Genomic DNA, 12,983 nt, shown 5'->3' on the forward strand with positions numbered 1-12,983 from the left:
TGGCAGGGATGAGGACCCTTAGGTGGAGAAATAAGGCTGACACACAGGTTAGCACCCATAAAATGCAGAATCCATCTGGGGGCCCAGAGCCAGCTGCTAAAAGAAGTTGATCTTGGATGTGGACCCTGAGGTGGGGACCCAGAGGCGAGCATCCGTGTGCTGCCAGCTGCTAGACCTTGGGTTCCCTCGGCCTCCTCAGACCCCGGAGGAAGGAAGACCTCACTCTGCTCATTCCACTGCCTGCAGAGCCAGTCCCCACAGTCTGTCCCTGTGAGCAGCTATGGGGGCTGCCCAAATTGTGAATGACTGAAATGAAGCCACCAGCCTGGCCACTGGGTACTGGGTACTTTGCAGACCAGAGATGGCTCGATACCAGGCCATGGTGTCTCTTGGGCTTCGGCCACTCTGGTCTCTGGGATCTGTTGTTTCCACATCCTTCTCTCTTTGCACCCATGCTGGGGCTACAGGTATTAAAAAACTGTGTTCTGTTAGTCTGCAGTGGGTCAAGCTCAAAAATGAAAATGGCTTTTTACAAATCCACCTGTTTGAGCGGATACACGCTGCTGAGATGTGAAGGGTTTGGGACTTTCTGTGTAGTGGCTATGGAATTTTATTAACATGAAAGGACAGAAATCAGGTTTGAGTGTGATTTATGTAGCAGCAGCTGTAGTATTCTTTTCATTGGAGTTTAAATAGGTTATAAAAACGTGATGGGGCACTGAGGTTACCAGTGAGTCATTCTCTGGCTTATTAGCAACAGCACAATTAATAGAGACAGACGACTTTCCCTTGACAAGGGGCTTTTCTGCCCCAGTGAGCATTTAAAAGGCACAATTCTGGCTTTGTAAAATACCAACTTCCACGCAGGGAGGCAGGATGCTGTCCTTGTCCCTGCACTAAAGGGAACCGAAATGTCACCTTCATCATGAAACAAATAATCCATCCTTCTCTCATTAAGATAAAACCCAATGTGGTTGAATTGTAACAGTAGGCTGGAGTGCAAGAAATACGGTCGCACATTTTCACCATCATGATGAGGACCCCTCTCCTGCCACGGTACTGACAATCCTACTGGAACCTCAAAACCTTTCAGCAGCTCCAACAGCCTAGCCACCTCCACCGCTGCAGGCTCTACTCTTGGGATTGCAGCTGCAAGCTTCCTACTGCTCCCCTCTGAGAGAATCACGTGGCACCATCCCAACCTGAGAGGCTCTGAGACCCGGAATGTTCACTGGAAAATGGCTAGAACATACAGGACCACAGAGCTCTGGCACAAGACCTCTGCCTCCATCTGCCATGAGCCAAAACACAGCCTCTGCAGCAATTGGCCCAGAATAGTCAGCACGTAATCAATGACTACCAGTATCCCTCATGTTACCTCCACTTTCAACTCAGGACCAGCCTGAGGAAACCAAATTTGCTCCCCTAACCAATCTCAAAGGATACCTGGCTTCAAGTGCGCCTCCCCCCAGCTTCTCCAGGCCAACAGCCTCCATCAGGGCCCACCTGAGGCTTCCCTTGCCATCAAGAAGCTTCACCACTCCATATGAGTCTCTGCTGAAATGCGAGTGATGGTGGCTGACTCCCCTGCCCTGGCACGCTCTGAGTAAATCCCTCCATTCGTTCCCATGTGGGCTGCCGTTGGGCAGTCATTCAGCAGTGCATGGTAAGCACAGACTGGCTGCTCAGTGCTGCTGTAGGTGCTGGTGCCAAGTGTAGCATCGCTGAGACTCAACTGATCTCGTACCCACTGCTCTTGCACTTCAGGGCAAATTGTACAGAGGCAGCGTCCACCCTGGGGCTGGAATGCTCAGACTCAGGGGTGTTGGTCCGTGGTGTAGATGACAGGCGTGCCTAGTCTGAGCCACCTACCACCATGAGAAATAAGTGCCACCTGGAAAACGAATCGTCCCACCTCCACCCACGACGGACAATGCCAGCCCATGCCGCTCTGTTGTCAGGGTCTTCATGACTTGGACTGGAAGATGTACCATCTCCTGCTTTTGTAATAATGCAGAAAGAAGCCTCTGCCCTATTCCTTCCAGAAGACAGCAGCCGTGCCCTGGAAGGCAGGTAGCCACTAGCCCTTCAGGAGCTTTAGAGGCCGTGCCCTTCAGGTCCTGGGGTGCAGGGCAGGCTACAACCTCCCACTGTTGAGGCCTGCACCACCTCAGGATGTTCACCTCCCTGAGGACATGACCCTAGAATCTACTAGGATCTCCATGCCCTGTGACCTTGCTAGATTGGAAATAAGTCTGTGTTCCTCTGAGAGCAAGGCCTGAGACCATGTTAACATTTTACAGTTGTATTGTGTTGTTGACCCAAATTATTTGAGGCTAACCAAAATCAGGAGTTGTTTTTCTCATGAGGTTCAAGTTCCCAATCTTCGACCTGTGAAGCTCAGTGGGGGGCTTCCTGTTTCCTAACAGCTGCCTGCTGTTGTGTGTTGAGGTCAGCTCTCCACTTCAAGCTGTGAAGCTGCCCCTGGGAGGAGGGGGAGTGGAAGCGAGTCAGCTCCCCTAAAGGACAACGCCTGCAGAAAGGTGTGTGGGGTCCTGGGTGCCACACAACTATGCCAAACTTAAGGGAATGAACTGTGCACACTCTTTAGAAGAGGGACTTATGTTTGCATGCTTTATGTAAAGAACTCATTAAGTCAATATTAGTACACAGTGTCTTAGAGAAAATAAAAATCATATAATGGATTATGTAAAATAGCAGAACTGGGCCACGACCTCACTGCTTGAGTAGTTATGATTTTTGTGAAGATGCTGCATTGACTGAATTTTGACCAACGGGTCATGAATTAAAGTAGGTAATGAGAGCTAGTTCCCTCATTATACCCTGTTCATACCCTATTACTGTAGGTATCATTGATAGAATAATATTCAGCTATTGGAAAAATATTCATGACTTTTGAGTAAAAGTAAAATTAGAAGGAAATGTTGTCTTAGTCACCTTGGGCTACCATAACAGAATATCATAGACTGGAGCTTAAATAACAGAAAAGTATTTTCTGACAGTGGTGGGAACTGGAAGTCTGTGATCAGGGTGCTAGCATGGACAGGCTCTGATGAGCTCTCTATTCCTGGCTTGTAGACCGTCACCTCCACACTGTGTCCTGACTTGGTGGAGAGAGAAATCTCTGGGGATTTTTCTTAAAAGGGCACTAATCCTCTCATGAGGGTCCTGCTCTCATGACCTCATGTGACCCTGATAGCCTCCCAAAGTTCCCAACTCCAAATACTATTCCACTGGGGATTAGAGCTTCAACATACAAACTCAAGGGAAACATGACAATTCCATCCAGAGCCAATGTATACCACAAAAATGCACTCGAATACAGAAGACAATGGGAAGGAGAGGGCTTTTTGCTAAGGATATGCAAATCGACAGAGCTGGCCATGGTGGTGAGAGAAGTCATCCCGGCCATGCCTTGGGGTCTCATGCTCTGCAGTCAGGGTTTGGTTCCTTCCCCAAGCCATGGGTTCTCACTGATATTTCATTCTATGTTAATAATTGAAGTTTTAATGAGAACACATGGACACAGGAAGGGGAACATCACACACTGGGGACTGTTGTGGGGTGGGGGGGGTGGGAGGGATAGCATTAGGAGATATACCTAATGTAAATGACGAGTTAATGGGTGCAGCACACCAACATGGCACATGTACACATATGTAACAAACCTGCACGTTGTGCACATGTACCCTAAAACTTAAAGTATAATAATAATAAATAAAATAAAATATAAAAAAATTGACGTTCTACCAGTGTCCACAATTTAATTGATTAAAGTACCCCAAAACACATATGCTGTCTCCTGTGTGTCAAAAGCTTGGCAGGGCACTGAGATGCAGGGATGAGTCAGGGCAGAAGCTGGGCTTCCACAGAGCCCAAGCCCACCTGAACTAGGCCACTGCAAGAGCAGGAAGGTTTTTCTATAAGAAAGTGCTGAAGTCCTTGACATGGGACTTGACTTGGGCGAGGGGTCAGGATGTGCCTCAGAGAGCTGATCAGAAGAGATGCCTGGCAGGAGAACAACATCACCTTCCAGGAGGAGCTAGTGCATGAAATGCATACATTCATGCCCCTTCCTCTGAATGCTTGCTCACATTTAGGTTAGAATTTGGCCATTTATGTTGTTTTCCCATAAAGATGAAGTGACTTGGCCAACGCAGGAATTATCTGGCCCCTTTAGCAATAACAATTTCATAACAACTTTGCAAATACACTTAGGCTTTGATATAGTTTGCATATTTCCCCCTTCAAATTTTATGTTGAAATTTGATCTCCAATGTTGGAGGTGGGGCCTGATGGGAGGTTTTTGAGTCATGGAGGTGGATCCTTTAGGAATGGCTTGGTGCTATCCTCTGGGTAATGAGTGGGTTCTCACTCTATCGTTCCCATGAGTACTAATTGTTACTAACGAACCTGGCACCTCCCTCCCTGCTGTCCTGCTTCCTCTCCTCTACCAGAGGTGGAAGCTTCTTAAGGCCTCACCAGAAGCAGATGCTGGCGCCGTGCTTTCTGCAGAATGGTGTGCCAAAGAAACCTCTCTTCTTTATAAAATACCCAGCCTCAGATATTCTGTTATAGCAACACAAAATGGACTAAGACAGGCTTTATGCATTCATCTCTTGAGGTTGGTTAAAATGAATTTGCCTCAAGAACAGGGCCCTGCTTTTGGGTGTACTGACACAATCACCTTCATAGTGCCTTTCTCCAAAGCACTCATTGTTGCCTTCATAAGCTCCTTAGCTGTCATTCTCTCATGAAGACCATGCCACATCCTTCAGCTTTCTCCATTATATGGAAGCATTGGTCTGGATGAACAAAATAGTATTGCATGACTAGACTTGCTTTCTGTCCCTTGGCAGGCTGAGTCAGATAACCTGTCTTCCATTATTCTGAAACCATCTTATCTCTCAAAGATGTTCACAATTAGGCCACTTGTTTCTTTTCCTCTAACAGATGCTACTTTTTCTCCTTACCAATTCACATTAGATAAATGAACTTCCATCCAGGGCTAACTTTTCAATCCACAGCCATTCATCTGCTGTTCCTATCAAGTCAGCTGTTTTGCTTGAATCACTGAGCTCTTCACTTTCTTTTTTTCATTCTTCAAAGGCATGTAGAATACTCACCTTAGTCTCTGGAATCTACTCTTTCTCTCTATCCTGGACATAGAATTTTAAACCCTATTGAGCTGGCTGGTGAAGGTCAGGCCAAGTGAATACTTGGCAGTGTTCTCATGCTGCCTTCCAACCTTTGTGTAGAAAGCTGCCCCAGCTCAGACAGACCTAAGTTTGGGCCCAGGCCCTGACACTATCCAGGTGTGTAAACTTGGGCAGCGTACTTAACTTGTCCAGCTTTATTCTCTAGGGCTGTGACATTTGGATAATGGTGACTATATCATTGGCTCATTACATAAAAAGTAAGCCATTCTGGATGCAATCCACCTAGTTCACATTTGATACATGCTGGCCCTGCCCCTCACTCAGGGCCACTGCACATCCTGCACATCATGGGGGCATTGCCTGAAGGAGTAAGAAGGGTACAATTTCATCTGTGGTCCATTGACCAAGCTGTGCACCTGTAATACTGCAACTCTTCCTAATCCACAGAGAGGAACCTTACAGCTAGTTGCAATCCTGAGTTCCTCTTAAGTTTCTGGTGTAGTTTTAAAGAAAACTATATCCAAGATCCTACCCTAACTCACACACTGAATCTCGGACGTCTATTCCAAACTATATCAGACATTCTGCCAAGCACCAAGTGGAAGAGTGTTTCCGAATATTGTACATAGAAAAATGATAGGGTATGACACATCAGTCTAAAAATTACAACTAGTATTATAAAACATAGCAGGTGCACAATTACTCTATCGTGGTAGGGTGTAAAATGCTCACAACATTGCTTCCTAGTATCCAATTAATGTAGTTGGTGATAAACAGTTACTCATTTGCAGTGATGTCTTCTTTTTTTATTACAGTCAATTATACAATGAATTGCAATCGACTCATTCTGCTCCTTATTCAACAATTGTATTACCATTTTTTTCCCCAACAAAAACTAGGCAAAAATAAGATCTAACTCCTAAAAGCATGGTGGGAAAGCAGTCAGTGGAGACGCACCATGGCAGAGAGTGACACCCACTGAGGATATCACCTGGATCCTCCGGGCACTGGGTGCATTTAAGAGTAAACCCACTCCTGTAGCCTCAGCACATTTTTTTTTTTACTTTAAGTTCTAGGATACATATGCAGAACGTGCAGGTTTGTTACATAGGTATACATGTGCCATGGTAGTTTGCTGCACCTCTCAACCGGTCATCTAGGTTTTAAGCCCTGCATGCATTAGGTATTTGTCCTAATGCTCTCTCTCCCCTTGTCCCCTATCCCCTGACAGGCCCCAGTGTGTGATGTTCATGGGAGCACATTTTTAAAAAGGGCTAAACGTGATTTTAATGAGGGACTAATTGTATTTAGAGAGTAACTGAGTAGTTTTTGATATATCATTTTGTTTAAAATATTTATTGATATTTGGAGCTGTTATTATAAAATTTTTCCTATATTATTATTCATCAGAAACATCTTGTTAAAATATGTACATTATAAGATATTGGCTACTACAAATGAAGAGGAAATCCACAGGAAAAGAGAGAAAAAAATAAAGTTGTTTTCAAAATATAGGTCAAAAATTTAGAAAATAAAACAAGTTAATTTTCTTTTCCTATGAGAACTTTACAAATTGAAGAAAAAGTCATGTTTGCAGGAATAGTGGAACAATATAAGAAACTTACAGAAAAGAGTAATCTTTTACTATTCTTCCTTTTCTTTCCTGGATGGCTGAGGCAGGTGTGTCTTGGATTTCCATTCATATGTGGATTATGGACATTATATGCAATGCCATGATTTTATAAACATTCATGCATGCATATAGGAAACATATATCACTGCAACTTGACTTTCAAAGTTTTGACAATATGTAATGGACATCTTTCGAGGTCCATAGATAATTAGTTTTTTCATTGTTTTTAAGAGATTGGTTCGTGTTTATGTTGGTCAGGCTAGACTCAAACTCCTGGGATCGAGCAACTCTGTCACTTCAGCCTCCAGAGTAGCTATTACTCTTAACAGTTATGTAGTATTAGCTATCTATTGCTGAAATAATGCTGTGCAAAAATGACCAAACAACTTAAGGGGGGTACAAAAATATGCATGTACCTGGGCTACTTGGCTAGGCAGCCTTGTTAATACGCATGTACCTGGGCTACTTGGCTAGGCAGCCTTGTTTGTTTTGACTGTGCTTGCTCTCATGTCTAAGCGTCCTTTGGCTCTTAGCTGATTTAAGATGGCTTGGGCTGGGGACATGGGTGATTCACCTTTTCTGCGTGTGCCTCTGCCTCTCCAGGAGGCTAGCCTGAGGATGTTCTCATAGCGATGGCAGAGGCTCCCAGGCAAAAAGGCAAGTGCAAGCATGCAAGTGCTTTCTAGACTGCTGCTTTTATCATGCATGCTAAAGTTCTATATTAGCAGTCACCAAAACAAGTCATATGGCTGATCACATAGAGAGAGAGAGAGGGCTGCACAGTTGCACGGCAAAGGGTAAGAGTGCAAGAGATTTGAAAAATTGAGACTATTTTTGTAACCTACCACAGTATAAACCTTCCATTTTTTATTCAACCATTCCCCATGTTAGCTGCTATTTTGGATCTTTTCAGAGTGTTATAAGTTATTATTAGCAGGAGTATATATTCTTACATATCTATCTTTATGCATTTGCGTTTATTTTAGTGGAATGTTTACCAAAGTGAAATGATTGGATCAAATATTTTTATTAGAATTAAAATTTATAGAGCTATATTTATTCAAAATGTGTAGTGATTCATACCTATGGTAGACATGAAATAAAGTGTCTGTTTTCCTATATCTTGGTTGAATAAGACACAGTGATTTTTTTTTTGTAATAGATTAAAAATCTAATTTTTGAACTTACAGATTCAGTTCCAACATATAAAGAACATAAAATACATCATTTTTGTCCTAAAACAACATCAAAGAAAGCTGGACAAATTAAAAATCAATGACTGTCTTTGACCTAATACATATGTGAGTTTGCAGGGCAAGCTGTCACCCTGAAATGTGAAGAGACAGCACATACAGAGAGTAACAGGTGAGATCTGCCTACCTGACATGCAAGACACTGAAGCCAAAGATGCTGGAATCAGAAACTCCTTGTAATAGCACATACAATATGTCCAACTTTTAACCAAAAATTATAAGACATGTAAAAAGGCAAGAAAGAAATTCTAAAGAGAAAAAGCAAGGCAGACTCATATATGACACAAATATTGGAAATATCAGACAGGAAATTTAAAATGGCTATAATTAATATGCCAAGGGATTTAATGAATTAGTAGGTAACATTCAAGAACAGGTGGGTAATATAAGCAGCAAGAGGAAAACTCCAGGAATAAGTTTTAAAATGCTAGAAATCAACAACACAGTCACAAAAAGAATGCCTTCAATAAGGTTATCACTAGATTCAATATAGCCAAGGAAAGAATAAAGGACCTTCAAGATAGGTCAATAGAAGCATCCCAAACTTGATCATAATGAGAACAAAATTTGAAGGAAGAAGTAGAATACGACATTCAAGAACTGCAGAGCAATTTTAAAAGTTACACACACACACACACACACACACACACACACACACACTTGAAATATCAGCAGAAGTAGTAAGAGAGAATGGAGCCAAAGAAATATTTAAAGTAATAAAGCCTAAGAACTTTCTATAACTAGTGGTAGATATAAAACTCCACATTCAGAAAATTCAGAGAACACCAAGCAAAATGAACAAATACTTAGATAAAATACTAAATCATAAAGGAACAAATACTTACACACAAAAAATACTAAATCATATATTAAAGCTGCAGAAAATTAAATACAAAAATTTTCAAAGAAGCCAGAAAAGAAAATCACCATATATATAGAAAAATGCTGATCAGAATTACAGCATACTTCTCATCAGAAATAATGCAAACCAGGAGACAGTGGAATAAAATATTCAGTGCTAAAAAACAAAAACCCTAACCTAAAAATCTGCATTCAGGGAAATTAGCCTTCAAAATGAAGGAAATGTAAAGACTTTCTCAAATAAACAAAAACTGGGGAAATCTGTTGCCAATAAACATGCCTTTCATGAAATGGTAGGATAAGTTCTTTAAAAGAAGCAAAATGAGACTGATGATCAAGGTCAACACCACGTACCCTTGATGTGAAGTGATGAGAAGACCACTTTGCCTCTGTGTTCTTTTCAAAAATCCATAACCCAGTCTAACCATGAGAAACACATCAGACAAATCCCAGTAGAAGGATATCCTATAAAACGCTTGACCAGTACTCTTCAAAACTGTTAAGGCCATCAAAAAGAAAGAAAGCTTGAGAAATTGGGACAGCCAAGAGAAGCCAAGGAGACATGAGGACTAAATGTAACACGCTGTCCTGGATGAGGTCCCCAAATAAGGGAAGCCTTTGGGAAAAGCTAAGGACATCTGTATAAACTATGGACTTTAGTTAATAATAACGAATGGATACTGGTTACTTCATTGTGGCAAATATGACATATTAAGATAGGATGCCAATTATAGAGAAATGCAGATTTGGACATGGGGGAACAGATGGACTATCTTCGCATTTTTTTTTTTTTGGTAAATCGAAAACCTCCTAAAATAAAATGTATATTTGAAAAACTAATTGTTGATTCATCCTTTATATAAAAGTTAATAATAACATTGTCTCTTGTGAAAATACGCAATGATGATGATGATGGATAAAACAAAAGGAACTAAATAAACTGGAGGGAAACAGATTGGCTTCTCTGCCTTCCAGAAACTTTAATTTGATGGTCATTCTGATTTGGTTAGGATGCCTAACTGCAAATTTACAGGAGTAATTTCACCTAACGTTGATAAAATCTCTTCTGCCCTAAGATAAGTTGCTGGATCTTAAAGCGCTGTCCCTATGTAGCTAAATCAAATAAGTCAGAACGTGGTCTCAAGTAAATAGCACTTAAGCATTTGGAGGAGAGACACAGCAGAAAAGATAACAAAGACACTCAACCAACAGCTGGAGTATCAGAGTCCCGAGGGTCGGCTTGAGTGCTCTCAGACGGCTTGTACCCTCCCCAATTACATGAGGAACCTGTGTAAAATAGCAACTAGTGCCAACTGAACTGTTCACCTCCCAAACACCAGTTTATGTAAACTCAATTACTTACATGACCAGAACCAGTGATTTCTGAAAAGAAGCCTCTCATCTACTCTACTAAGTTTTCTGCCAAAACACAGCATGAGTTTTGTTTTCTTTAAAAACTACCATTTCCATATAATTGGATTAACCCAGCATGTGACTATGGCCAGATGTCGAAGCTTCCTAGATCGTGTAGAACCCTCATGTGACCTCAGGCTTCTCTCACAAAATGCTGGGAGTTAAAATTCAGCCGCTGTCTAAAAACTGCCTTAATCGTCCTGAGGAAGTTATAACGGTTGGTTGGAAAACAAAAATTACCAAAGCCTCCATTAAAGTTTCAGATGTTCAAATAGCCATGGTCAGAGAGCAAGAAATGATTTGTTGATTAAGTGCTTGCAGCAACATTTCATTTTGCTAAGATGTACAGAACGAGAAAAATAAAGACATTTTCAAGCAAGTATTAAATTCAGAAAGAGTCTACTTATTTAATCTCTCAAGTCACCTTTTAAAATATTTTCACTGCTATGAATCCAGCATACTTCTTTTTTATTTCAGCACTGATCATCTATCTCCTCCTAAGACTCAGACTTTCAATTAAGTGAGCATTTACCTTCACATCCCTTGTAAGTTGGATTCCTAGGTATTTTATTCTCTTTGAAGCAATTGTGAATGGGAGCTCACTCATGATTTGGCTCTCTGTTTGTCTGTTGTTGGTGTATAAGAATGCTTGTGATTTTTGTACATTGATTTTGTATCCTGAGACTTTGCTGAAGTTGCTTATCAGCTTAAGGAGATTTTGGGCTGAGACAATGGGGTTTTCTAGATATACAATCATGTCATCTGGAAACAGGGACAATTTGACTTCCTCTTTTCCTAATTGAATACCCTTTATTTCCTTCTCCTGCCTAATTGCCCTGGCCAGAACTTCCAACACTATGTTGAATAGGAGTGGTGAGAGAGGGCATCCCTGTCTTGTGCCAGTTTTCAAAGAGAATGCTTCCAGTTTTTGCCCATTCAGTATGATATTGGCTGTGGGTTTGTCATAGATAGCTCTTATTACTTTGAAATACGTCCCATCAATACCTAATTTATTGAGAGTTTTTAGCATGAAGTTGTTGAATTTTGTCAAAGGCTTTTTCTGCATCTATTGAGATAATCATGTGGTTTTTGTCTTTGGCTCTGTTTATATGCTGGATTACATTTATTCATTTGCGTATATTGAACCAGCCTTGCATCCCAGGGATGAAGCCCACTTGATCATGGTGGAGAAGCTTTTTGATGTGCTGCTGGATTCGTTTTGCCAGTATTTTATTGAGGATTTTTGCATCAATGTTCATCAAGGATATTGGTCTAAAATTCTCTTTTTTGGTTGTGTCTCTGCCCGGCTTTGGTATCAGAATGATGCTGGCCTCATAAAATGAGTTAGGGAGGATTCCCTCTTTTTCTATTGATTGGAATAGTTTCAGAAGGAATGGTACCAGTTCCTCCTTGTACCTCTGGTAGAATTTGGCTGTGAATCCATCTGGTCCTGGACTCTTTTTGGTTGGTAAACTATTGATTATTGCCACAATTTCAGCTCCTGTTATTGGTCTATTCAGAGATTCAACTTCTTCCTGGTTTAGTCTTGGGAGAGTGTATGTGTTGAGGAATTTATCAATTTCTGCTAGATTTTCTAGTTTATTTGCGTAGAGGTGTTTGTAGTATTCTCTGATGGTAGTTTGTATTTCTGTGGGATCGGTGGTGATATCCCCTTTATCATTTTTTATTGTGTCTATTTGATTCTTCTCTCTTTTTTTCTTTATTAGCCTTGCTAGTGGTCTATCAATTTTGTTGATCCTTTCAAAAAACCAGCTCCTGGATTCATTAATTTTTTGAAGGGTTTTTTGTGTCTCTATTTCCTTCAGTTCTGCTCTGATTTTAGTTATTTCTTGCCTTCTGCTAGCTTTTGAATGTATTTGCTCTTGCTTTTCTAGTTCTTTTAATTGTGATGTTAGGGTGTCAATTTTGGATCTTTCCTGCTTTTTCTTGTGGGCATTTAGTGCTATAAATTTCCCTCTACACACTGCTTTGAATGTGTCCCAGAGATTCTGGTATGTTGTGTCTTTGTTCTCGTTGGTTTCAAAGAATGGAGGGATAGCATTGGGAGATATACCTAATGCTAGATGACGAGTTAGTGGGTGCAGCGCACCAGCATGGCACATGTATACATATGTAACTAACCTGCACAATGTGCACATGTACCCTAAAACTTAAAGTATAATAAAAAAAAAAGTGAGCATTTACCAAATGCTCCCACACGCTACAAATGGAGGGTGATGAAGATATGAGAGCATCATAGTCCTTGTCCTCAGAACTCATGCTATAATACAGGAAGTGGGAAAGCACATGGAATTGCAGGGCGCAGAGAAGAGGGACAAAGTTTTGTGAAAACAAAGAGAAATATTATTTTAAGTTGGGGGAGGGGGCGAAGGAACGTTTCATGGAAGAAGTGACATTGGAATTGGATCAGACTTCCAAACTTGAGGAAGTTGTTTTCGTCCTGGAAGGGGGCGGGTACTCTTTGCCTTTACAACATGGGTGGGTTTCTGTGAGGCTAGATTGTTTTCTTGCTTGGGATTTTGAGAACTAAATCTGGATTTTTGCCTGAAGATGGGATTATCATATTCTTTTTGGAACACAGATATTTGATACCCATACTGAGTAAGGGCAAGACACAAACTT

The 12,983-nt window shown here is 41.2% G+C and overlaps 1 annotated feature.

Moving 5' to 3' along the window:
• Positions 1,347-1,981: an enhancer, noted in NCBI's record as "H3K4me1 hESC enhancer chr5:3890331-3890965 (GRCh37/hg19 assembly coordinates)". NCBI's record gives its function as "activates a minimal SCP1, AML or CMV promoter by ChIP-STARR-seq in naive and primed H9 embryonic stem cells {active_cell/tissue: H9 hESC(naive and primed)}" and the evidence as "EXISTENCE:reporter gene assay evidence [ECO:0000049][PMID:30033119]".

The sequence above is a fragment of the Homo sapiens genome, chromosome 5 (genome assembly GCF_000001405.40).
Source record: "Homo sapiens chromosome 5, GRCh38.p14 Primary Assembly".
NCBI classification, from domain to species: domain Eukaryota; kingdom Metazoa; phylum Chordata; class Mammalia; order Primates; family Hominidae; genus Homo; species Homo sapiens.